This window comes from Homo sapiens, chromosome 8 (genome assembly GCF_000001405.40).
Source record: "Homo sapiens chromosome 8, GRCh38.p14 Primary Assembly".
Classification (NCBI taxonomy): domain Eukaryota; kingdom Metazoa; phylum Chordata; class Mammalia; order Primates; family Hominidae; genus Homo; species Homo sapiens.
Genome location: NC_000008.11, coordinates 21,770,885 through 21,796,065, shown reverse-complemented (window position 1 = coordinate 21,796,065; position 25,181 = coordinate 21,770,885). Strand labels below are relative to the sequence as shown.

The 25,181-nt window shown below is 55.6% G+C and overlaps 1 protein-coding gene across 7 annotated transcripts in view, besides 1 other annotated feature; it reads left to right on the top strand.

The window, feature by feature from the left end:
• Window positions 1-25,181, top strand: part of GFRA2 (GDNF family receptor alpha 2) — a 121,948-nt gene that overhangs the window by 16,280 nt on the left and 80,487 nt on the right. The window contains exons 1-4 of one of the 7 annotated variants that reach the window (XM_006716327.4): window positions 6,777-6,855; window positions 7,872-7,946; window positions 13,167-13,481; window positions 21,011-21,094. In XM_006716327.4, coding sequence (XP_006716390.1) covers window positions 7,907-7,946; window positions 13,167-13,481; window positions 21,011-21,094 — 439 coding nt within the window. In that variant the 5' untranslated portion in view covers window positions 6,777-6,855; window positions 7,872-7,906. Of the gene's footprint in view, window positions 1-6,776; window positions 6,856-7,190; window positions 7,947-8,929; window positions 8,948-13,166; window positions 13,482-21,010; window positions 21,095-25,181 lie in introns of those variants that run through there. The other 6 variants (XM_011544484.3, XM_047421687.1, NM_001495.5 and 3 more) reach the window with 6 other exon arrangements.
• Window positions 13,302-13,803: an enhancer, noted in NCBI's record as "H3K27ac-H3K4me1 hESC enhancer chr8:21639775-21640276 (GRCh37/hg19 assembly coordinates)". NCBI's record gives its function as "activates a minimal SCP1, AML or CMV promoter by ChIP-STARR-seq in naive H9 embryonic stem cells {active_cell/tissue: H9 hESC(naive)}" and the evidence as "EXISTENCE:reporter gene assay evidence [ECO:0000049][PMID:30033119]".

The following is a 25,181-nucleotide window of genomic DNA, read 5'->3' as shown; positions in this document are numbered from 1 at the left end:
TCCTGCTGCTATCGGGCAGCTGTGAAGGGGGAAGGCGAGGAATGAGGTTTCACAGTTTTCTCGAGAAGTCTGGGATTTCTGGTGAAACAGGAATTCAGAGAAACAGCCCTTCCCAGGTCTGTCTTGGATGACACAAAGACGATGCCAGATGACTTGAGTGCTTTTTCCTTGCCCTCCATGAGCCCCTATTGTGGGACAAAGCAGCAGAGAAGCCCAGGCCTGTAGTAGGTGGATGCCTGATTTCTGGCCTGTGAGAGAGGCCAAGTTGGAATTGGAAAGCCCACTGGATGAGTCCTTAGCTCTGCCACTTGCTGGCTATGTTGTAACCTTGGTCATGTCATGAGTGGTCTTCAAGAGTGAGTTTGTTCCCTGAGGCCAGGTGCGATGGCTCATGCCTGTACTCCCAGCACTTTGGGAGGCCGAGGTGGGTGGATCACCTGAGGCTGAGAGTTCGAGACCAGCCTAGCCAACATGGTGAAACCCTGTCTCTACTAAAAATACAAAAATTAGCCAGGCAAGGCAGCACACGCCTGTAATTCCACCTACTCGGGATGCTGAGGCATGAGAATCGCTTGAACCTGGGAGGTGGAGCTTGCAGTGAACTGAGATTGTGCCACAGCACTCCGGCCTAGGTGACAGACTGAGACTCTGTCTCAAATAAAAAAAATAAATAAATAAAAAGAAAAAGAAAAAAGAAAAAAGAAAAAAAAAAGACAATGTGTTTCAGTTTGTTGTCTGAGAAGGGAAATTAATTCTCTCACGCCCCCCTCCCAGGGATGTTGTAAGGACTTCAAGATCATGGATGTGGAAGATGCTTTGTACAGCCGGGAAGTACAATAGTCACATAAGGTGGTCTTGATGGCTTCCTGTCAGAGCAACTTCCCATCTGCTTCCACTGTCTACCCACTCTGTCCAACCCCCATGGGAGCTGCAGCAGCTGCAGGTTCCTCCCTCTCTAATGGGCTACCCTGGGGCTTACAGGACTCCCTGAGATGGGTGGGGCTGCAGAGAGGTCTGCGAGGCCCTGGGGAGAAGCTGGGTAAAACCAGAGCTCCACCTCCTGCCGGTGCCTACCTCTAAAGAGAATGATGAAGCACTGAGAACATTGACTGAAATCAATTAGAGAAATCAATGGCCCTGAGTGCAGTATGCATTTCTTCCCTCCTAGCCCAGTCCCACCCAGCCTGCCCCAGCAGCCCTGTTCATTCTTTGGGATCAGATGGTTTATTTAAATTCCTGCTGGTCTCCATTGCCAGACTAGTGTGCTCCTTCCAGGCTGGGACTCTGGAATCTGGAGTGTGGAGGGGATGTTGGCGAGGGGTCAACTTGCCAGTAGGAGGGAGGTAGGGGCTGGAAAAGCTCATGCATGACCCAGGCCCAGGGCACTTAGCTGGGCACCAAGCTGGGCACCTGACAGAATCCTTTCTAGGCTCTAGACTTGAACTCCAAAGCTTATGCCAGACAAGGTCCACAGTAAATATTTTATTTAGTTTTTAAATAAAAAATAAAGTGGTCAGCTGGGTGTGGTGGCTCACGCCTGTAATCCCAGCACTTTGGGAGGCCAAGGCGGGTGGATCACCTGAGGTCAAGAGTTCGAGACCAGCCTGGCCAACATGGTGAAACCTTGTCTCTACTAAAAATACAAAAATTAGCTGGGTGTGGTGGTGGGTGCCTGTAATCTCAGCTACTTGGGAGGCTGAGGTAGGCCAATCACTTGAACATGGGAGGCGGAGATTGTGGTAAGCCAAGATCACGCCACTGCACTCTAGCACTCCAGCCTGGGCGACAGAGTGAGACTCCGTTTCAAAAAAAAAAAAAAAAAAAAAAAAAAAGTCACTCTCAGGATAAGCTTAATTTTTTTAGAATAAAAAATAAAACAAGGTCCACAGTACAGATTTTAAAAGTAATTTCAGGCTGGGCACAGTGGCTCAGGCCTGTAATCCCAGCACTTTGCCAGGCTGAGGCAGGAGGATCACTTGAGGCTAGGAGTTCAAGACCAGCCTGGGTAACATATGGAGACCTCATCTCTGCTAAGTAAATAAATAAGCCAGGTGCAGGCCTGTAGTCTCAGCAACTAGGGAGGCTGAGGGGCGAGGATGACTTGAGCCCAGGAAGTCAAGGCCACAGTGAGCTATGATTGCACCACTGAACTCCAACCTGGGTGACAGAGCGAGACTGTCTCAAAAAAAAAAAAAAAAACTTTGATTCTCATGATTTTTTTCACACTATTTGTGGATAGGGAAGGGAGGAAGAGGATATCTTAGGTGTTGTGAAGGGGAATATGAACATGTGTGGGCCTGGAGAGCCGCCACTTTTCTTGTCCGATACAAGGCACAGAATTGACCAGTTGGGGGTGCTGGATCCTGACTGCCCGAGTTTGAATCCAGATTCTGCCACTTAAAATATGACCTTGGGCAGTTGAATCACTTCTCTTGCCTCTCCTCTCTCACTTGAAAATGAGGCTATTAATAGTACCTAATAATAGCCATCGAGTTATTATAGGAATTTGAAGGAGTATTAACTTGTATCTAGCCATAAATTTGGCTACTTTAATTATTATTTTTCCAAGGACAAAGGCTGAGCCGCTAGGCTGGTCACTTTGTCTTGGCCTGGCGACTCTCCCTGTGTTCCAGCATCATGCCAATTCATCCTTACACTGCCTCTGACAACCCTCTCCCTCTGTCCACGCCCACTGCCACTCCCTGTTGGACCCTCATTACCTCTGCCTGGGACTGTTACAATCACCTCCTAATTGGCCCCTGGTCTCCATCCCTCACACAGTCATCAGATCAATCTTCCTAAAACATTATTCTCATCATGTCAGTTGCCTGCTCAAAAACCTTCAGCGGCTCCTGGTGCATGAATCTGAAGACTGCAAGGCTTGGTTCTTCTCCACTTGAGCACCCCAATTGGACCCTCTAGTTCTTCCCCAACCTGTGCACTTGGCTCCTCCCACCCACTGGATTGTTCCTTTCCTGAGAACTTTCTCTTTTTTTTTTGAGGCAGGGTCTCGCTCTGTTGCGCAGGCTGGAGTGCAGTGGTGCCATCTCGACTCACCGCAACCTCTCCCTCCCAGGTTCACGTGGTTCTCCTGCCTCAGGCACTCGAGTAGCTGGGACTACAGGTGTGCGCCACCGCACCTGGATATGTTTTTTGTATTTTTTGCAGAAACGGGGTTTCACCATGTTGGTCAGGCTGGTCTGGAACTCCCGACCTCAGGTGATCTGCCCGCCTCTGCCTCCCAGAGTGCTGGGATTATAGGCATGAGCCACCACACCCAGCCTCCTGAGAACTTTCTAATCACTGTGCTCTTGCCTCTGCTGTTTGCTCACCTGGAGTGTCCTCCTCTGTGCTCAGCCAAATTCTACCCATCCTTCCAGCTCCAGCTTGAATCCTACCCCTAGCAAGTCCTCTCTGATTGCACTCCTGAAATCCAGTGGTACCAACTCTTCCTTTCTCCCACTGTGCCTTTGTTTTTTTCAGTATCTTCTCATAGCTACACGCTTGACTCTATAAATGCTTTCAGGGGAGGGGCAGTCTTGCTGTATTCCCCACAGCCGTTGGCCCTGCTGGGGCCAGAGAAGTCGTTCAATAAGTCTGTGCTGATGGATTGATTGTGGGGTGCCCTGGATCAGGCTCTGTCCCATGGCAGAGGACACTTCCACCTTGCCAGTTCTGTGGCTCCTGACAGTATTAGCTGGATGTGAGGCACCTTCTTTTCACTCCTGGTCGATTTTTATCTCTGGGGTCAGGGAACCCTCAGCCTTCTTCCCTTCACAAAGGAATAAGATTGTGGTCAGTGAGCAGTGTGGCCCAGGCCTAGGTGCGCATGTGTGCGTGTGTTGGGGTGGGGCTGCAACGCCCTCCCCTCCACTGGTCCTTCTTCCCTCTCCTGCTATCCAGAGAACCCACTCCATAAGCAGAGAGGACTAGAGAGATAAGAGAAAGGGAAGGAATGGAAGGATTCGGTGTTGCCTTTCCCTCCCCATGCAGATTTGGACTCTAGGATCTGTGATGGGGAGGGGCTGTGGGCAGGAGGCTCAGCTGCTGGTGAACTCAGGAGCACTGGAATGAGCCAGGAAGGCTGTAAAAGGACTCAGGCACTACGGAATGTGTGGAAGTCTGTTGGTGAGCCTAGGGCTTGCCTCCTACCTGCTAGAGACTTCACATTTTCCTATGACTACCTCTTACGACAGCTGCTTAATAGTCTCTGTTGCCCTTGAACCCCTGTAGCTTTTTGTTTCTGCTTCTCATTTGCCCCTTAGGTTTTATTGCCTTGTCATAGGTCCCTAATTCTTCTTCTAGAACCCAGAGCAAAGCAGTAAACAACTTTATATGGGCCAGGCATTGTACTAGCCGCTTTGTGTAGTATCTTATGTAATTTCTACAACGTTGGTTTATCTTTTTTAATCCCCATTTTATAGATGAGATGACTGAGGTTCAGAAGTCCTCTTATCTATAAGGTGTTATAGTACATGTTCAACTGTGTTTCCTCTGTAGATCCCGGCACAAGGCAGGGGGTCTTCCTCATGGCAGATGCTCAGGAAATAAGGGATGATGCCATTTTTAAGAGCAGTTTGGGTTGAGTGTTGGGGTGGGCAGAGGGTGGGGTGTCATGGGATACGTCTGTATAGGCAGTAGGTAAGAGAGGGTCCAAGGTCAGAGTGCCCTGCAGTCACACAAGCTGAATGCTGGTGGTGACTGATTGGTGTTCTCTACTGTTCTTGGGATGGCTGGGTGGTCTTGGGTCGCAGAAGGGCCACTTACCTCCTGCTACCGGAATCCTCTTTCCTACTCCCGTGGGAGCTCAGTGAGAACCATCCCCAGGGCTTCATTGCTGCTTTCTCAGCCCCATTTTCTGGATAGGTGGGAGGGGAGAACTACATATATGATTCAGAGAATTTCTCTCATTATGCTCAAATGAAGTTAAAAGAAAGTGAAATTCTTTTTTGTGGGGAAGGGGAGAGGGATATGCTGAGCAGAAATTCTGGAGTTTGGAGCAGGGTCCTTGGAAGGGGGAAGGCCTGCGTGAGATTCCGAAATGGGTGGTGGTGGGGAGTATTTGGACAACCAGAAGACCCTGGAAGTCGAGGAGATGAGAGGGGGGACATTCATTTAGGCCAGGCTCCCAGCCTCGGGCCTCCAGGCCAAGCCTGCCTGGCAGTGTAATTCCTGTCAAGTTTTATCTTTTAACCTACACTTATCCAAAGCCGGTTCCTTATGCTCCCCAATTTTTGGAAAAAAAGCCAAGAGACCTTGTCAGATGCGAAGTCACTTCCTAGAACATGAGAGGCTTGGAGGAATGACAGGGAGGGCAGGCCTGAAGGGGGCTTTCCCCAACTCCAATCCCTAAGCCCTCTGTCCCAGACTCGTCACTACCCAGCTAGGGCCTAGGCTCGAAGCAGGCACAACTGGATGGCTGGGGGAGAAGATGGAGGGAGGAAGGTCGATGCCCCAGGACGGACCACAGGAAAGAGGCGTTCACAGGAGACTCGCTCTCTGTGCTTCCAAGGCCGGGAGCAGCCGCCTTCCCGCCTAAATCCTCAAGATGGAAGTTGCTCCCTCTAGCTTTCCCAATAGCTAAGGCTGCTGGTTTTGTTAGTGACCCCTCCCTTCTCGTCCAAGTCGATTTCTAGCATTTACTGGATTCCAGAGTCTTGTTATTTAAGAATGCATCTTAAACGGTACTATCAAATTCATGTTACGTGCAGCCCAGATTGTTTTGGGCAGCACGAAAAGTTTCTGAGGCGCTGCGTGTACCCCACCCCAGGACACCGTGTGTGCGCGCCGAGCTGAGTGCGAGGAACGTGGCGCGAGGGCCGGGGGATGCCGGGCTGCGTGGGTGTGAGCCCTCGCGCGACCGCGACCCCGCGCCTCTCCCGCTCTCGCCGGAACGTGACCGCAGCCGCACCTCTCCTCCAGCCCTTTCCCAGCCAGACGCTTCCTTTTAGGTCCTTCTGGGCGTTTATTGTAAATTCTGCGACTAAAACACGCCGGTGAGCCCGGCCCACCGACAGATGGATCAATCGCCCCCTTCCCGGCTAGGGGAGGAGGAACCCCCCAACCCCGGAGCCTAGGGAGCCGGGAGCTGCCTCGGGACGAGCTCCTCGGAGCCCAGCCGGCTGCGGAGCCCCGGCCCGGGTCGGTCTCGGGGCCCTCCTGCCGGGGTGGGGTGCGAGCCCCTGCCCGATTCCTCTGGGGCGGTTCAGGCAGGTTTGCCGGCCTCCGAGGAGGTGGTCAGGGCGCCCTGGCCCAGCAGGCTTCTTCCCGAGCCGGGGGGAGGGGAGACCGGCTGGGGAAGGGGCATCTCGAAGGGGTGGAGGCCGGGGCGGGCGGGAGGCAAGCGCGCCGCGGGCGTGAGGGCAAAGTTCCCGAGGTCCGCGCGGAGAGCACACGTGTATGTGCGCGCGGGGCTAGGCCGGGGCCGGCAGGATGCGTTGGGTTCGGGGGCGCGCGGGGCCGGCGCCGAAGGGGATAATTCCTTTCCCTGGCACCATCGGGGAGACGCTTTGTCGGCCTCGGCTCCTGGGCGCAGGGACGCCTTAGCCCACGGAGGGTGGAGCCCCCCTCAGACCCGGGCCACCGGCTGGGGTTTTTCTAACGCCCTGCCCCCCGAGCCCCCGGATGGCTCGGGCCCCACGGACTCCGCGCCCTCCAGCCTCAGCTCAGCTCCCCAGGCTTCCCAGACCCAGCGGCGCAGGGGGCGGGGGCAGGGGCAGTGGGGGTTGGAGGGCGCAGCCGGTCCCCAGGGTGGGGAGAGCTGCGGGGGGAGGAGGAGGAGGGTGCCGACGCTTGAGTGGGTTCGAGCCCGAGCCGTAGCCGGGGGAGCCAGTCAGTTTCCGGCCAAGGCAGCAGGTCAGTCCCAGGAAGGGCGGGCGATTGAGCCGAGGGAGCCGGCGGCTGGGCTCTCCTCTCGGCCCGCGATCCCCGGCGCCGCCGCCGCCGCCACCGCCACCGCCACCGCCTTCGCCTTGTCGCCGCCGCCGCTGCAGAGCATCGTAGCTCCGCCGCGCTCCCGCGCCCCGCGCCCCGCGCCGCCAGCCGCCTGGGAGCCCGAGCGCCGAGCCCGGGGCGGAGGAGAGGGGCGCTGGCGCGAGAGCCCGGGCGAGGGAGCCGCGAAGGGAGAAGGGGGCGGGCGGAGGGAGGAGCAGGGAGAGTGGGAGAAGGGGGAGGGAGAGAGGAGAGCGAGGGAGAGCTGGAGAGAGCGAGAGCAAAGAGCGAGCGAGGGAGAGGAGAGAGAGAGAGAGGAGAGAGAAAGACACACGCACGCAGAGACACACGGTCACTGGAATTCCATTAGAAAAAAGTGAGCCGAGCAAGGGTTAGCGGGAGAAGATTTTTTTGAATCTTGTCTTCGTCTTGGTGCGAAAGAAGCGACTCCAGTCTCTCGTCCTCGAAGCTCCGACTGGATTGTTCTTGGGCGCTGACACCCGTCTGTGGATTTCTTTTCTATTTGCATTTTATTCCGACCCCCTCCCTCGCCGCTTCCTTCCAGCCCTTCACTCGCAAATCGCCTCTCTCCCCACCTCCCCAGGCCCCTCCTGGGAAGCGCAGGGGAATTGGACCCGCGGGGACTCACGCCTTCCCGGACGATTGGAGGGGAGGGCTGACCCCAGGACTGGGCTGTTGGCTTAGAAAGCCGATACACAGATACGCGTATATTTGATTGTAGCGGGCAAGGGGGGCGTCGAGAGGCAGCAGCCCATCGCCCGCCTCTCACCCCACCCCCTCCAGCCAGAGGCGAGAATCGCAGGACTCGGGATCTTCATCGGGTGGACTAGCTGGGATCTCCGCATTGGATTTGGGGCTGATTACCACTGCTTGCCTATTATTATTGTTGTTGTTACTACTATTATTTTTTTTTACCCAAGGGAGAAAGACAAAAAAACGGTGGGATTTATTTAACATGATCTTGGCAAACGTCTTCTGCCTCTTCTTCTTTCTAGGTGAGTACCTGCGGGCGGCGAGCTCGAGGGGGAGGCGAGAAGCCGGGGAGGCGGGGGGCGAGCGGAGCGCCGGTGGGGGGCTGGCGGGAGGTCGGCGGGGAGAGCGCGCCGCGGAGCTAGCCGGGCCCGGTGCTGGCGAACCGAGCGGGGCCGGGCGGCAGGGACGCGGACGAGGGACCGGAGCCGCGGCTGGCTGGCGACGCAGGGGGATCGGGAGGGAGACTCAACATCCGAACCAGCCCCGCAGACACTGTGCACGCACACACACACCCGCGCTCGCTCACACGCCAGTATAGCGCGCATCTCCCCCGAAATAATGGGTTCGAATTGCGGCAACTTAAGAAAAAAAAATATCCAACTCTTGATCTGCAAGAAGGGAGGGAGAGAGAGGCTCCTAGGCGGGGAGAGAACAGTCCTGCGGGGTCCGCCTTTCCTGGTCTGCTCCCCGAGTCGGTCGTGGTGGAGGGCGCGGGTTTCTCCGGCGGCTCCCGCTTGGACATCGCGCGGGGAGCGCTGGCAGTCACTCCCCACCTGCCAGCCGCGCCTGGCAAACGGAGCCCGCGTCCCCACGCCCTGAGCCCCTAACCGGCGGCTCCACTCCCCGGAACACTTTTCAAGTTTCTCCCCACCGAGCCCCGAGCCAGATGGGTGGGCGGGAGCGGAGGGTTGTGAGCAGCCGTTCCCGGCCTTCCCTCCTCCACCTCTGGGGGCCGCGGACCCCCGTGGCTGGTGGGAAGAGGCGGGAGGGAGGCCAAAGTTTGCTTTCTCCGTTGAAGAGGGTGGGAGGCGAGGGAGGAAAAACGGGTCTGAACAAAGACCACTGCTCCTTCTGCAAACCCCCCCCACTGCCCCCCCCGCCGCCTCCAAGACAGGGAGGAGAGGCTGCCTGGCGCCACTGAGCCCCACGCAGTTTCTTTTCCACACAGAATTCCCAGCTCCTCTCTCCCTTTAAAGCTAGGTGAAATCGCAGCTGCTTGGGAAATGGCAATCTCCGGAGGGAGGTGAGGAAAGGCGGTTGTTTGCAAGGCTGTGCACCACCGGGAGTCCCAGGCAGGGCTGCTGCCAGGGAGTAGACGCTCCCATAGAGGGAGCCGGGTAACTACTGTGTATGTGTGTGTGTGTGTGAGTGTGTTTGTAAGGAGCACACGTCTGCTTCAGTGAGGGTGTAGTTCTACCACCTTGGCTTGCTGTGTAGCCAGTGTTGAGCCAGGCTGCCCAGCGGGGTCATGATCTCACCCTCTCCCTCCTGCAGTAGGGGATCTGGGAAGGCCACGAGTGGGGAGGTAGGAGCTGGTTACAGGAGGATGTGCGTGGTCTAAGAAGTGCTCGCCAGACTAGGATAGGGGACCGGAGTCATTGGGTGTCCACACAGGCTCTGGACTCTCTGCCTGTCCCCTCTGCTTCCCGCCAGGTGCGAGTCCCCAAGGGGGCAAGTCCCTGCTCTAGGGTGTGGCCTCAGAGGTCCTACCTCCCTCAGCCAGAGGCAGCTTCTCTCTGGGGTGGGAGGGGCTCCTCTAGGAAGCTGGAAGTTGCTCTGGGCCCGCTGTGATCCCGAAGCCCTTCCTGTCAACCCTGGCAAGTGGACTCTCATTCTGAAGGGGCTACTATAAAATCTGACCTTTTTCTCCCACTGCTAGCTTGAAAACCCAGCCTTCTGGGTCCAAGCATGATCAGGGCCAAGGTGAAAAAAAAATTGTATTTCAGGCAAAACAGCCAGATTGCCTACTGCTGAGCTGCATACCCCAGCATGGGCAGGGCTCCCAGGTGTGGGCACCATCTGTGGTCGGGGGCTGGAGAAGAGCAGTGTGGGCCCCTGGTCATTGCAGGCAGGCTTTCTCCAGCCGGGCAGGCTAAGGAGTCCACCTTTCTCCTTTTCAGAAGTGGCTGGGGTTCCTGCTCGTGGTGGGTGTGTATGTGTGTGCATGGGAGATGACCAGAGAGGCCCAACCCAATGTCTGCAACCCTGGAGGCTGAGTGTTGAGAGGCGGGGGTGAGAGCAGAAGAGCAGCAGGCTCAGCATCCCCTTGCTCCACAGCCCTTCAGTTTCCTTCCCTCGAGAAGTCCCCTTCTAAAGCTGGGCTGAGTGGAGTGACCACAGATACTGAAAGGCTTTGGGTTAGGCCAGTGGAAAGGAAGGGATGGGTTGGTGTTTAGGAAACTTCAGCCCTGGGGCCCTTTTCCTGGCAGGAAGCTGGTTGAAAATCCCACTGGGTGGGTGGGTGGAGGGTCGGGGGAGGTTTTTCTGGGGCTTGAGACTTGGTGGGCAATTTCAGCTGGGGGCAAAGGCCTTTGGTGTGCCCCTACTGAGATTCTGAGTGAGGTCTGGGCTGGATAACCCATGGTGGAGAGAGAGGCCTTTCTTGCCCAGTATCTTGACCTCCAGTGCTGACCCAGGGAGAGAAGGAGAAGGGGAAAGTGACTCGGGTGGGGGTGTTGGGCTGGCCAGAGGGGGCCACTTCCGACTGACTTTCTAGCACACATTCTAGCTCTGGTGGGATGTTGGATGCAGTAGGGCAATTGTAGCCCTGTGTCGCTTCTCCACCCCCCTCTACCCCTGTGTCTCTAGCAGCTACTCCCTGTGTCTTGATGGATCAAAGTTTTCTCCTAATTTAGGATTTGGAAACATCACCAGGACACCCCCTGCCCTTCACTCTCTTAGGATTCTTAGCTAAAGGCTGCAGGCTGCAGGGATTCCTTTCTCTGGCTGGGCTTGATTGGTTCTGGGGGTCATGGAATGAACTAGAAGAGTCAAGGATGGTTTGGTGAATGGATGCCCCGGCCCTTCGCAGAGTGTGTCTGTTGCCTGGCCACACGTGCCAGGTGGCAGGATGGGGGAAGCCCTCAGTTCTGGCACGGGAGCCTCCCTAAGATTGTGTAAGGATCATCCTGTGGGGCTCTAGGCCCAACTGTAGGACAAGCAAAAAAAGCGTCCTTATGCCCTGAATCCCCTGGGCTAATCTTCTGACCTTTAAGCACGCGGTGAATTCTGTGCCTACAGAAGGCTAAGGAAGCCAGGAAGTTCCATTTCCAGGCCCCCATGACAGTGCAGCCTTCAGTTCAGTCAAGGTGGGAGGGCATTAGCCTATGGGGAGGCGGGGTGGTTAAGTCAGTGGAGGGCCCAGGGTTATATTCTTCCAGAGGCTCCCACGGGCTGGCTGGGGGCCGCAGGTACAGGCGGGGCCGTGTCAACTCAGCTGCTCTTGGGGGGCCCGGCTGTACGCGGGTCCTGCTCAGGGAGGTAGGAATCTGCTGAAGCCGGGGAAGAAAGACGCTGCCTCAGCTTGTGTGGAGGACAGCTCTCCAGCCAGTGCCGGGCCTCAAACTCCGGTCTGATTTCTTCTCTGGTCTTGTCTCAGCCTGGCCACATCCATCAGCCTTCCTGTTCTGTGGCAGAGGTCTGGTCAGTGGGAGAAGGGCACGTCTTTTGCTCTGGGCCCCGAAGAAGCCTTCTGTACCCCAGGCCCATCCCTGCTGTTCTTCTCTGTTGTCCCCTAGGGATGGGTCTCCTGGCTGGTCCCACCGGGAGTGGATGGATTCCTGTTCTCTGGGGGCTCTCGGGAGCGAAGGCCCGCTGTGCAGCGCGCTGCCTTTAGGTGTCGCTGTCTCCCTGCGGTAGCGCTCCCCTGAGCAGGGCCTCCCGGGGGATGGCCTGAGAGTGGCTGTTCTGGGTAGGGATGGGGAATTCTGCGGTATTGAGGAGGGGACTTCTGGCCTAGGATTTTATTATGTTCTGAGGCGAGATGGAGTCGAGGAAGCCTCCCAAATTACTCTTTCGGTCCAGGAAAGGGCAGTCATGGCTCTGGGCCATGGTGCGGGCTTTTCCTGGTGGCAGGATCTCGAGTTAGGGGCTTATCAGAGGACAGGGGGACTGGGAAGACGATGTCTGTGTCTGGAGGAAACCATTTTAGGAGCTTGGCTTTGAAAGGATCAGGCGAGCCTGTCCCTGCCGTTCACCTACCTCTCTTTTTCCCTGTCCCCTCCCTCCTGAGGCACTGTGGGTGTGGACATGGGGGCCAGGATGGGAAGGTGGCCTGATGGGGGATTGCACATTGGTGGAGGAGCAAGGTTCCATTTGCAAGGCTGGGGTCCGAGGAGGGGAGCTTTTCCCTTTTGCAATTATTTGGCTTTTGGAAGGAAGAACAAAATAAGAGATAGAGGGGAAGGGAGTTTCAGAGGAGGGTGGAGAGGAAAGAAAGAGAGGAGCTGAGAGAGAAAAAAACAAGGCCATTGAAAGACAAGAGGTAAAAGGTGATGAAGAAACACACCTCTTGGGAGGCCATCAGCAAGAGAAGCGTAAGATATAGCCAGGTGCAAGCAGAGCTAGAGTGGGGAGGAGAGAGCAGGGGGCGCGGGGGGCATGGATGCTCCCCAGGCTTGCCAAAAGCATTTTCTATTGGAGGGGGCCGGGGCGGAACTTGTCTCTCGGAAGAGGAGAGTTCAGGTCTCCGTCTGGTGTGAAGTTGGACTAGAAGGTGTGGAGGGGTGAGGGGGGAAAGGGGTAGCTCCTCCTTCCTGGGCTCGCCTGGACGGTAGAGTTAGGCTCATCTCTCCCTGTCTTGTCGTAAAGTCAGAATGAGAGTCAGAGTGAGTACACTGGGAATCGGAGGGGGTGTTTCCACCGCTATGTGTGACCTTGAGTTGTCATCACCCTTCTTTGGGCCTCAGTTTCCCTAGGGTAAAATGTGGGGTTGGGCTCTATGGTGTCTATAAGGTCCTAACAGGCAATGACAACGAAATGACTTCGCACTGCATCCAAGGTTTAGTGCAGCGCCATGGATGGGCCTCTGGCTGGAGCTGGGGTTTATAGGAGGCCTGGGTGGTATGCAAGTGAGATGTTCCCCACTCCCTGCACCCCCCAGCAAGCCATGCAGCCCCCAGCTCTCTGCTGAGGCTGTGACATTCTCCTCTGGGCTCCTGACGTCTTAGACTGAGGTCTTGAGCCGGGACCTTCCTGGCTTTATTGTGCTGTGCTCCTAGGCCCAGGGCCGCTGCTGAGGAGGAATGGAGTGCAAAGGGAGAAAACTTGCTCCTACATCCAGGGGAGGATGATGCCTGAGTTCTCCCTGGGGTATGAGGAGGGCTGTCCCACAGAGTCGCCTTGGTGTGCTTTGGCGAAATGGGTGTGACGTTCCCAGCAGGGCCCAAGCCCCCAGGCCTGCATCTTGGGTGGGAGATTGTGGCGGCCGTCATTCATGCTTGTCTTCCCTCCCCACCACCCAGACGAGACCCTCCGCTCTTTGGCCAGCCCTTCCTCCCTGCAGGGCCCCGAGCTCCACGGCTGGCGCCCCCCAGTGGACTGTGTCCGGGCCAATGAGCTGTGTGCCGCCGAATCCAACTGCAGCTCTCGCTACCGCACTCTGCGGCAGTGCCTGGCAGGCCGCGACCGCAACACCATGCTGGCCAACAAGGAGTGCCAGGCGGCCTTGGAGGTCTTGCAGGAGAGCCCGCTGTACGACTGCCGCTGCAAGCGGGGCATGAAGAAGGAGCTGCAGTGTCTGCAGATCTACTGGAGCATCCACCTGGGGCTGACCGAGGGTAAGCCTGGGCGGGGCTTGCCCAAGGGGAGGGGGTGTGGCGCAGGCAGAGAGGACGTGTGGCGGGCCAGGGGTTCAGGAGGGAGGACTAGGTGGTGGCGCAAACTGGCCAGCTCTCTATGTCTACCTGCTAGGGGAACCTAGAACCCAGAGAAGTCGCCGCCCCACCTAGGAGGGTGGCATTGTTTGGAAAAGGCCAGGAGAGACAAAGAGGAGGCAGAAGCAACAGCTGGAGGAGGAGAGAGGGAGGTGGTGGGAGGAGGAGAACAGGCGCTGGAGGAAGGGGGGTGAGTGGGGTGGGGGAGGTGAGCAGGGGTTGGGTAGGAGCAAGACCACGTGATTCAAGCAAGGACGGTGTGAAGTGGTTCCAAGAGAAGGTGAGGCAAGAGTGACCAGGCAGATGGAGAAGTGAGAACCAGGAGAGAGAAGGGGCAGGCTGGGTGCAGGCTGAGAAACCAGCCACTTCCGCTGCCACGGCTGCTGCCCTGCTATGGCTGCTGCCCTGCCCCAGGGCTGATCCCAGAGCTGGCTGCCCCTACTCTGTCCTTCTGGCTCCTGCCTCCCTGCTTCCAGGACACCAGCCCTTCATGTGGCTTCTGGACCCCATGGCTGACCTATCACCTTCTACAGGGCTTGGGGCAGTGTGCAGGCAGCAGGCCCCACATCCCTTGGCAAACCAGCCTCCGAGTCACAAAGTAGAACCTATAAGTCCCCCCGCCAATAACACACCTTCACATCCCCTCCCCCTCCAGACCTGGGTGTGGAGGATTTGCATCTGTTTAGGAGGTGGGCCACTGTAACCAGATGTTCATTTATTAATTGAATGCATGTTTATTGAGAGCGTACTGTCTGCTACACTCTAGGTGTTGTAGGAACAGTTGAGGGCAAGCTGATGCAGCCTCTGCCCTCCTGAAGCCGAGTCTGGGGAGGTGCGGATAAATAAGGGGGCTTCTGTCATTTGATGGTGTAAGTGCTGTGAGAGGGAAGACACAGGGTGCGATGGTAGCAGCTTGGAGGGGGCATCCACGTCTTTGCTGTAAAATCTAAAGCGTCTTCCTGGAAGAGACAGGCTCCAAGCTGGGGCTGAAGGGTGAGTCAGAGTCACGAAATGGAACATAGGTGAAGGGAGGCAGGAAGAGTGTGGGAGGTGGAGGGAACAGCATGGAAAGGCCCACTGTGAGAATGGAACCTGTTTACAGAGCTGCAAGTGGCTTAGAGTGGTGGTGGGTGGCAGGTGGTGTGTCGTGGGTGGTGGTGGAAGTGGGGAGGAGAATTAGGGGCACAGGGAGGGATCCCTGAAGGGTTTTAAGGGCGATGATCAGATCTGTGCTTCAGCAAAATGCTTCTGTGGTTCCAGTGGAGAGAGTAGATTAGAGGACTGTCCAGAAGCTGCTGCTGTGATACAGGCCAGGAACAGTTGTGGCGGAACCAGGACAGTGGCAAGGAAGGAAAAATGGGTCTAAGAGCTATTTATTTGTGTATTTATTATTTTTATTGGGGTCTCACTAGGTTGCGCAGGCTGGTCCCAAACTCCTGGGCTCAAGCCATCGGCCCGCCTCGGCCTCCCTAAGTGTTGGGATTACAGGAGTGAGCTACCACACCCAGCTAATTTTTAAATATTTTTTTGGTAGAGATGGGGTCTCGTTATGTTGCACAGGCCTATCTCAAACTCCCGGGCTCAAGCAGTACTCCCACCTTGGTTTCCCAAAGTTCTGGGCTTACAGGTATGAGCCACTGCCCCCGGCCCTCTGAGAGCTATTTAGAAGAGAGAATCCACAGGTCTTGGTGACTGATGGGAGAGGAGAAGGGGAGGGGAGGGAGGAGTCAAGAAGGGCACCCAGTTTCCTGTCTTAGGCAGCTGAGCAGATGATGGAGGCCTCAGAAGAATCAGGCCAGTCTTAGAGTGGAGAGGGGAGGGCAGGGGGATGGGGAATCTGTTTTGGGGCCCATGGCTCTCATTGACCACACCCTGCAGATGTGCAGGTCTAGAGTCGAGGGAGGAAGTGGGTCTGAGCGAGACTGAGGAAGGGACATGAGCCTGCAGGTAGAAACCAGGGCCAAGGGGGTGTGCATGACCGCAGTGAGAGGAGGGCGGTAACAGACCCCGGAGACCATGGTATTTAAGGATGTGGGGAAGGGAGCCTGCAGGGAGCTGAGAAGGTGCTGGGGAGAGGTGGGAGGAACAGCAGGAAAACAAGGTAGGGTTCATCCCAGAGGAGAGGACCCTCAACAGGGTCAGATGCCTTAGGGTAAGCTGAGGCTGAGGCTCTTAGCTTCTTAGACACCTGCTGTGTGCCTCAGAGGGTGACACACTGGATTAGCCATGCTCCCCGTGCCGGCCATCGGCCATCGTATGGGGCAGGAGACCTTTCCCCGGGCCCTCCTGCTGGAGGGAGGAGCCTGGCTAGGGAGGAGCCTGGCTAGGGAGCAGACAGGAACAGGGGGATTGGGAGTGATGAATGCAGATGACTCTTTCCAGAATTTTGGTGTAAAGAGGAGAGAACAAAGGATGCTTAAAAAAAAAAAAAAGATGGGAGAGGATCGAGCAGTTTAAAATCTAACATCGGACAGTAGTGATGGCGATGTTGCCATGAAGAAGACAGAAGGGTCTTCTGTGGAATGGTGCCTTTGGGAAGGGGAGGGGCTGGGTCCAGGGCACAAAGTGGGCCAGGGGATGAGCCTTCGAACAGGGGAGCAAATGCTCCCTCCAGGTGCTGGGAGGGAGGGAGGAAGTGGCTGCAGGTGCGAAGCCAGATAGAGGGGGATCCCTGACCAGTCAGAGATGGCTCGAATATGTTCTAAATATGGGAATAAGAAATGCATATAATTACTACCATCATTAATAGCAAAGTATTCCTCATGAATCAGGCGGTGCCTTCTCCCTAGCAACCTGGATTCCTAGAACTAGCATGAGCAAAGGGAGGAATACTGTCCTGAGGGTACTGCACTCTATTCTTCAGGAGATAAGGCGCTGTCTTCACCCAGAGCCGGACTCTGTAGCGTACAAATAATTAAAGCGCTCAATGCCTGAGCTGAGTAGTTGTGTTTCTTGTCTTCTTTCTGGCAGCCTTCAGTTTCCACCCAAGGGAGACTGGGCAGCGGGTTCGGGTGGGCTGCAGAGTGGACAGGGGAGAGAACAGGACAGAAATGTCACCCAGAACAGCCGGGGGGGCACTTGGGCCTTTTAGCACCAACAGCCCTTCCCATGTCACTGGCTCCCTCTGTATCACTGCATCAGGCCACGGGAGGACTGTGCTGATGGGATCCCAGGGAAATGAGCACGATGCTGTGTGCGTTTAGCTGCATGCTGCTGTGTGGTTTTCAAGGCCCCTTGATCGGGAGTGCCTGACTGCAGATGGCTTCTCTGGTTCCAAATCTCGTTTTTTGAGACAGGGTCTCACTCTGTTGCCTAGGCTAGAGGGCAGTGGCATGATCACAGCTCACTGCAGCCTCTACCTCCTGGGCTCAAATGATTCTCCCACCTCAGCCTCCCGTGTAGCTGGGACCACTGGAGCCTGCTACTATGACTGGCTTTTTTTTTTTTTTAAGTAGAGATGAGGTCTTACTATGTTGCTCAGGCTGATCTTGAACTCTGGAGCTCAAGCAATCCTTGTGTCTCGGCCTACCAAAGTGGTGGGATGATAGGCGTGGGCCGCTTGTGCCTGGCCTTGAGTCTTTTTATTTATTTATTTTTTAATGAGATGGAGTCTTGCTCTGTTATCGCAGGCTGGAGTGCAGTGGCAAGATCATAGCTCACTGCAGCCTCAAGTTTCTGGGCTGAAGTGACCCTTCTGCCTCAGCCTCCCGAGAAGCTAGGACTACAGGCACGTGCCACTACGCTTGGCTAATTTATTTTTTATGGAGGTGGGGTCTTGCTATATTGCCCAGGCTGTCCTCAAACTTCTGGCCTCAAGCAATCTCTTCCCACTTTGGCCTCCAAAAGTGTTGGAATTATAGGCATAAGCCGCTGCGTCCTGCCTGGTTCTAAGTCTTGAGATGGTTTATTCATTCATTTATTCAACAACCATTTGTTAAGCACCTACTGTGTGCCTCAGAAGGTAACAGCACTGTAGGAACTGTGTTCCCTGTGCTGGCCAGCAGACAGGTCGGGAGACCTTTCCTCTGGGCCCTGCCTAGAAAATACACCCTTACTTTTTTCCTTCCATAGAAGACTGCATCTTTTCTCTGTAGGGGAATTCTACCTTCTCCTGGGTCTTGGGAGCCCAGAGGTAGTTTCTGCCCAGGGCTGACCAGGGGAAGCCAGGAGGCCTCCAGGTAGTGTTCTTGTGAGTGGCGGGGTCTACCTGAGAGGTAAGCGTCCATGGCCTGTTGAGCAGTCTCCCTGAGGGAGGCTGCGAGTCCTTCCTCCCTGTTCCTTGATAACATTTAATAACCTGATGCAGGCCTGGGGCTGCGGAGAGGGCAAGAATCGCTGAGAGGAGCGATGTGTGTAGGATTGGATTTTCCTTCCGATTCTCAGCCTCTCCTTGGCCCCTGCTGGTGGGCGTGATTTACCATGGGGCTGTGCTCCGCCTTCCTGGGACTTAGCTCTCAGTATGCAGTCAAGGCGCACAGCAGGTGCAAAGAGCCCGTGGCGGCAGTGGGGAGGATGGAGAGAGGGCTGGGGTGGGAATGTGACCGCAAGACATGGCTGCTGAGCTTCTAGAGTCTGAACTGCAGAGGATCTGGCAATCATTCGGGCTCACCCCTACCATCTGGCAGGGAAACTGAGGCATAGATGGGTGAGATGGCCTCCCAGGGCACACAGCAAGCTCGTGGCAGGACCCAGAGTGGGTCCCAGGGCCCCGACTCCTTATCCAGGTCCCTTTTCACTGTCTTGGGGGCGATCCCACGGCCTGGGCCCCGTTTTCCTCACTGCCATTACCACCACCAGTTTTTACACAGGGGGCTGCCACTCTTGGCTGCATGGGGGCTTTGAGACCAGGTTTCTTGCCTTCTGCAAAGGTGACACTGAAATTCAGGGTTCTTTGGTCCGAAGGTGAAGAGCAAAGCCTTCTTCCATTCCCAGAATCTCACATTCTGGCTCTGGTTTCAGTGGCTCACACCTCGGGATTTCTCACTGGTGAATTCTGTGGCAGAAACAGGCTACACAAGTTGACTTAAAGAGGCTGGGCCCCTCCAAATCAGTTCCGGAAGAGGCTGTCCCCACCCTGCCACCCCCACCCCATTAATCAGACTGGCCTAGCTATACCTAGGCCCATGGCTGCGCTAGATGCAGTAGGGAAGGACAGGCCCCCACACCACCCCGGGGCACCATCTGGCGGACAGAAGACTGATCTTGGGAAAAGGGGAACAACAGTACTTATTTAGGAATGACTTGGTTCCGATAACACTCTGCATTTTGGGAGACAGTATTCACAGCAGTGAAGCACTTGGGCTTTGCCTGGGTGTGAACCCTGGCTCTGTCGCTTGTTAGCTGTGTGACCTTGGTCAAGCTACTTAATGTCTCTGTGCTCCTTGTTCCTCCTTATCAGTCAAACAGGGAGAAAAATAGTGCCTATCTCATAGAGTAGTTAAGAGGATGAAATGAGCTATATCTAAAGCACTTTCAGTGCTGGCACCTGGAAAACGCAGTCTAACATTATTTTTATTGTAAAAGTGATTTCCTAAGTTCCTATATTGTTTGGCCTCAATAAATAGCAATGGCTGGTAACCCCACCCCAAGGAGTTTCTCAAGAGAGTCTAAAGTGCCAGTAGGTGGGGTGGAGGACATTGAGATCATCCAGGCTGGACAGGGGCCCAAAGGCCCCAAGGAGAAGGTGGGATCAGATATGGGCCGTAAATAATGCGTCTTGGCTGGGCGCGGTGGCTCACTCCTGTAATCCCAGCACTTTAGGAGGCTGAGGTGCACAGATCGCTTGAGGTCAGGAGTTTGAGACCAGCCTGGCCAACATGGTGAAACCCCATCTCTACTAAAAATACAAAAATTAGCTGGGCATGGTGGCACGTGCCTGTAATCCCAGCTACTTGGGAGGCTGAGGTGGGAGGATCGCTTGAACCCAGGAGATAGAGGTTGCAGCAGTGAGCCAAGATCGTGCCACTGTACTCCAGCCTGGGTGAGAGTGAGACTCTGTCTCAAAAAAAAAAAAAAAAAAGAGTCTCGTCTGGATGAGGCTGTTGTCAAATTCCAGCTGGGCACCTGCTGTGTGTCCTGGGTGTTGCGGGGCATGAGGGTTGCTTTTAGGAGGTGACGTGAAAGGTGGAGGCTGTTCCTAATGCAGGGAATATGCTTCCTCCTTGTCCTCTGGGGCTGCCCCATTTCTTGGGGGTCTGCCGGAAATAACAGGCAGCCTCCTTGCTCGGTGAGCCTGCAGGGGGCTAGTTGAGTCTCCAGTTCCAGCCTCTGGGTGACCACATGCAGTGGGGTTGCAAAGCCCCTCTTCCAGGCCCATGATACCTTGCTGCAGGTAACCCTGAAGAGGCTGCCCCACCTGTGCTCTCTCTTAGGCAGAGGGTGCCTGCCTGGGCACCAGGCCCTGCCTGGATGGGAAATGAGTCTGTGAGGCTGTGCCCTGCTTTTCACTACACACACACACACACACACACACACACACACACACACACACACACACACAGAGGATGAGTGGTGAGCCATCAATTTCCCCTCACCAATAACGTCTCAAGAGACTATTTCCTTTCCCGCTGAGGCCTCAGCAGAGGAGGGTGGGATTCCTGACACTGTGGTGGGGTCTTTGGGGGAGCCCTGGGCCATCCATCTCCTGTTATTCACTTGCTTTTCCATTCCTGAGCCCCCAAGGCACCCAAAGCCTCGAGGAAAGGTCCAAGGAGCCTGCAGGTGGTGGGGAGAACAGGAGGGCCCTGCAGGAGAGGGACCACGCAGATGGAAGCTGGGGATCAGCCCACCCACTGAGCAGACCTTCAGCCCCTCCAGCAAGATTCTCCTGGTGACACGATGGGGGGCAAAGAGGAAATTCTGTCCTCCTCAGTGACCTGGGCGGAGCTGGCGTGGTGTGATGGGAAAGGGTGCTGGTGGGAGGGCCAGGACAGCAGAGTCTAACTCTGGCCCTTCCAGGAGTAGCTGTGTGATCTCAGGCAGGTTTCTTCACCTCTCCGGGCCACCTCAGAGCCCTCTCTTGTGAAATGAGGCATGATTGTGGAGAGCATTCTGGCTTCAAATCCTGCAATTGATACCTGGCCTTACGTGGGCCAGCATTGCTCCACTTCCCCCAGATGCACCTGCAAGTCCTTCCAAGGGGGCTGGCCATGCAGGGTGGTCACGAGAGAGAAGCGTCAGGCAGTTCTGAGCTGCTGTCAGGGAGCTTCTCCTCTAGTTGGGGAGACAGACCTGCCCAGATGAAATGCTAAACATTTCGTTGCTAATGTGCCCTGGTCCTGCACTCTTCACTTTGGGAAGGGCTGCCCTGTCTCTTATCCTTTGGGTGGCACGAGCTTTCCCCTGGTAGAGAGCTTTCCTCCGGCAGATTTGCTAAGTGCCGGCAGCGCTCTGGCCCGGAGGAGCCCGCATCTGATGCCTGTTCTGTCTTCCAGGTGAGGAGTTCTACGAAGCCTCCCCCTATGAGCCGGTGACCTCCCGCCTCTCGGACATCTTCAGGCTTGCTTCAATCTTCTCAGGTAAGTGAGCTCGCACTGGGACTTGGCCCGTTCTCCTCTCGTCCCTGTGGCATGGCAGATGGAGCTCTGGGCTTGGACAGGCATCCTGGCGTCCGATGATGGCCCTGCTGCCCATCAGCTCGTCCCTCAACGGTTCTGAGCCTCAGTTCCTCCTCTGTAAAGAACACGATGCCCACCTCCCTGGGTGCTTCTATGGAGCAAGGCGTTGGTGGAAATTGCCTGGCCAGGTGGCTGTCATGGAGTAGGGCTTGAATCTGGAACCTGGTGTCACCCTTCTATCTTACCCTTGTTCCCTCTTTCCAGTTCCCTGGCTCTCCTGCTTTGGAGCTCTTCCACTTTGTCAAGTTGCTTAACCTGTCTGGGCCTCAGTTTCCTCAGCTGTGATGGGGGAGTACCGTACCGACCTCATTGGATTGCTGCGAGGTCTAAGTGGGTCAGTGGGTGGTAAAGTGCTCAGCACGCCGCATCAGTCAGCATCAGCTGTGGCTTGTTATTACTGGTCCTATAAGATCTGTTCTGCCCTGGGTTTTCCCTCTCTCTTGAGGGCTCTTCTTGAACCACATGAAGGGAGGTGTCTGCAGGAGCCACTCTGGTCCTCAGGCCACCCCCTGTGCCATCCTCCTTGGGAAGTGATACCGTCTCCATTGGGTTCTAGCTTTGTCTGCCAGGCTCCACATGTAGGCACCAGGTAAAGCTCTGGGGGTCTTTCTTCTCGGCTTTGTTCTCTCTGGCATCTGGGAGACACTGGGCCCAGGGCAGCCCACCCTGCCTGGGCACTGGGGAGGGGGTTCTGGTCTTGGGAGTGCTCTGTGGGGGTGGGGGGTGAGCTCCTCTAGGGGATTGCTGGAGATTGATGCTCCAGGGGTGGCCAGAGTGGGGCTTGTTCTCAGGGATCTTTGAGCACAGGAAATCTCGTTTACATGCAGTTTTGTGGCAGTCTGAAATGTTCTGGAGTTTCTGTGGCTCTAAAGCGGGGTTTTCAACAGCAGCACTATTGACATTTTGGGCTGGTTAATTCTTTCTTGTGGGAGGAGCCGTCCTGTGAGTCTGAGGATGTTCAGCAATGTCCCCGGCCCCACTGGATGCCAGCCGCGCTCTTGCAAGCTGTGACAACAAAGATGTCCCCAGACAGGGCCAGATGTCCCCTGGGGGGCACAGTCACTGCCAGTTGAGAAGCACTGCTGTAAACTGTGAGCTGAAAGCATTTCCAGTGAGAACCTAAGCCCTTTCAAATAAAGAACTCTCTAGGACCATGTTTCTCAACCATTCTTTTTTTTTCCATTATTGTTTTCCAAGGAGAAAAAATAATTCTTCCTAACTAGAGAAATTAAATACCAAGGAATAACATTTTGTCTTGAAGGTTTGAGTTTTGGAGGACCATAAACCATTGTAAGATCTCCTTTTTCTTTCTCTTTTTGTCCACCCAAGAACCAGCTTTTGCTCCCTTGAGGTGACGCCCGTCCTTCCCGTGGAGAAAGCACGCTCTAGGAGATTGAAACAGGGATGATACACGTGTCCCTAGTGGGAGAAATCTTGGATGCCCAGGAAGGGAGGCACTGGCCAGTGGGTGGCCATCTGGGTGTGGCCTTGGGCACTGGCGGTGGTTGGGGTGGTGGTGAATGGAGCGGAGACCTCAAAGTCAGCTGTGTTGAGCACCTTGCGCTGGGCTGTCAGCATCATAACCCCCAGTGGGGTCATACAGAGGCTCTGAGCTCAGAGCAGCTCCCATGCTGGCACTGCCTGTGGGCACCATGGCAGCTCTACGGTAAGTCTTGGCCAAGGGCTGGACTGGATGGGGCTGAGAGTCCTTCCCGCACAGGCATTCTGATTCTCACATTTCCTGATGAGTTTTGCATAGAAATCCACTTGGGACCATTCCTTCTGAGACAGTGCTCTGGGGCTCAGAAGCAGGTTGAGGATGCCATTGGCCTGTGGATGCTATGGTGGGCACACCCTGGTGGCCGCCAGATGCACCCACATTCTACTCTGTGTGAAGCTCAGGTACCGGCAGATTACTACTGCGTGCACAGGTGACACTGGGCTGCCCTCCAGTAATAAATAGCTTTGACTTGCTCCTGGATGTTGAAGCGTAGAGATCCTCGCCTTAGCCCAAGCCCCTTCTGCTCCCTGGACTCATGCTTAAGTATCTTCCTAGCAGAAAATCTTTACCTAATGGACTTGACACTCTGTGGGACAGGATGTTGACAAGACAAATGAGGAAGTTACTAGGTCTGCAGCTCACCGAATCAGCCCCCTTTTACCTGCTGCCCAGAGATAACTGGGCCCCACGCAAACTCTGGGTTTCTGTGCTCCAGGGACCACTCCCTGCCATGAGGGCTGGGCTTTGGGGACTGTGCCGGTCCCTCCTCATTGCCTCTGTTGACTCTGCTCCACCCAGAGAAGCGTTAGGGTTAGGTGAGTAGGCAGCTGTGTCTGGGGAGACTTGGGCACATAGTTGAGTAGGGAGGCCCCGGCCCTGCTACCAAGAAACCAAGCTGGGGCTGGGCACAGTGGCTCACGCTTGCCTGTAATTTCAGCACTTTTGGAGGCCAAGGTGGGAGGATTGCTTGAGCCCAAGGGTTCGAAGCTGCAGTGAGCCATAATGACACCACTGCACTCCAGCCTGGTCGATAAGAGTGAGACCCTGTCTCAAAAAAACCTCCCAAAACAAAGAAAAGAAACCAAACTGGCCATGGTGAGGAGCTCAGCAGAAAGAAGGTGAGAACAGGAGCTGGGAGGCGGTTCCAATGCAGTCCCCACCACAGATCACCTGTAGGATCTTGGGTAGGCTCATTTCATGTGCCAGATCTTCTGTCTGAATGAGGACATGAGCTTGGAGCAGTGCTTCCCAACCTTTGTCCCATCAAGGCACACAGAAAATGGTGATGCGGCAGGGTGAGCAGACCAGCTTAATGCTCAGGCCATCACGAGCCTCCTGCTTGTCAATATCCGGGCACATGTATCCCCCACCTGTGTGTCGCACGCTGGCTGCAAAGTCTTGTTGTGAGTATCCCAAGACCTGCACTAGAGCTTTGGCATTAAAAGGCTGCCACCCCATAGGACTGCATGAAATCCCGTGGGAAGCCCCTCCCCACCCAACTCATATTGCCTGCGTGCTGCCCCCTTCACTTCTCTGTGGGGAAAGACTGTGGGTAGGGAGGGAGGCATGGAGTCTTGGTGGCTGCTTCTGGGTTGTACTACCTCCAGGTGGGACACCAGGGAGGATGCTCCTGTGTCTTTGGGACTCAGTTGCTACTATCTGTTTACCAGCTCCTGTCTGAGAATTCAGGGCCCTGTTATAGGGGCCTCCTGGAACGTGTATTCTTCTTCATCTCTTTCTGTTGGGGTTCTCGGAAAGTCGTACTGGGATTCTGTTGCAAAGAAGCTGCCAGGATTCCTGCAACACCCTCCAATGTCCAGAAGCCTTGGGGAAGGGCAGCTTCTTCCCTCCTCTCTGCCCAGTGCTGCCTGACAGGCCCTGGGCTCAGCAGTGGGTCAATGAGTCCTGAGTCCAGGGCGAAGGAGGGAGCAGTGTGGCTGTGTCCTGAGTCACAGCGACAGTGATGTTGGACGTGTCCACATATCCTTCCCTCCCCTTCTATGTGGGAAGAGATTTCATGGAGAGGAAGTGAGTTTTGTCCTGTTTCTAGCAATTCAAACTGCCCTTGAAAGTGTGAGACAGTATTTAGGGAGGTGCCTGGAAGAGCACGGGCCTTGAGCCAGATGGTCCTGGGTTCAAATCCTGACTCGGCTTTTTAGGGGTGTGTGATCTTGGGGCTCACTGTGGCCTTTTTGAGCTGTGGTGCCTATGTGTGTAAGATGGACATGTGATGCCCTAAGAGGGTTCGGTGGGAATGGATGTTGGCACAGTGCCCACGGCGCATCAGGGACTGAGCCAGCCTTGGCGCAGTGGGTCATCCTCTGTCTGCCTGGGGTGCTCAGTGGAGGCAGGAGGTTGTTTAGTTGGATGCAGGGGTTGAGGAGCTGAAGTGGAGCATCCTCCTCATCCCCAGGCTCCATGACCCTGTGAATGCCGAATCCCAGCTGGTTTCACCTGGGGAGGCAGGAGAGGGTGGAACCAAGGTGG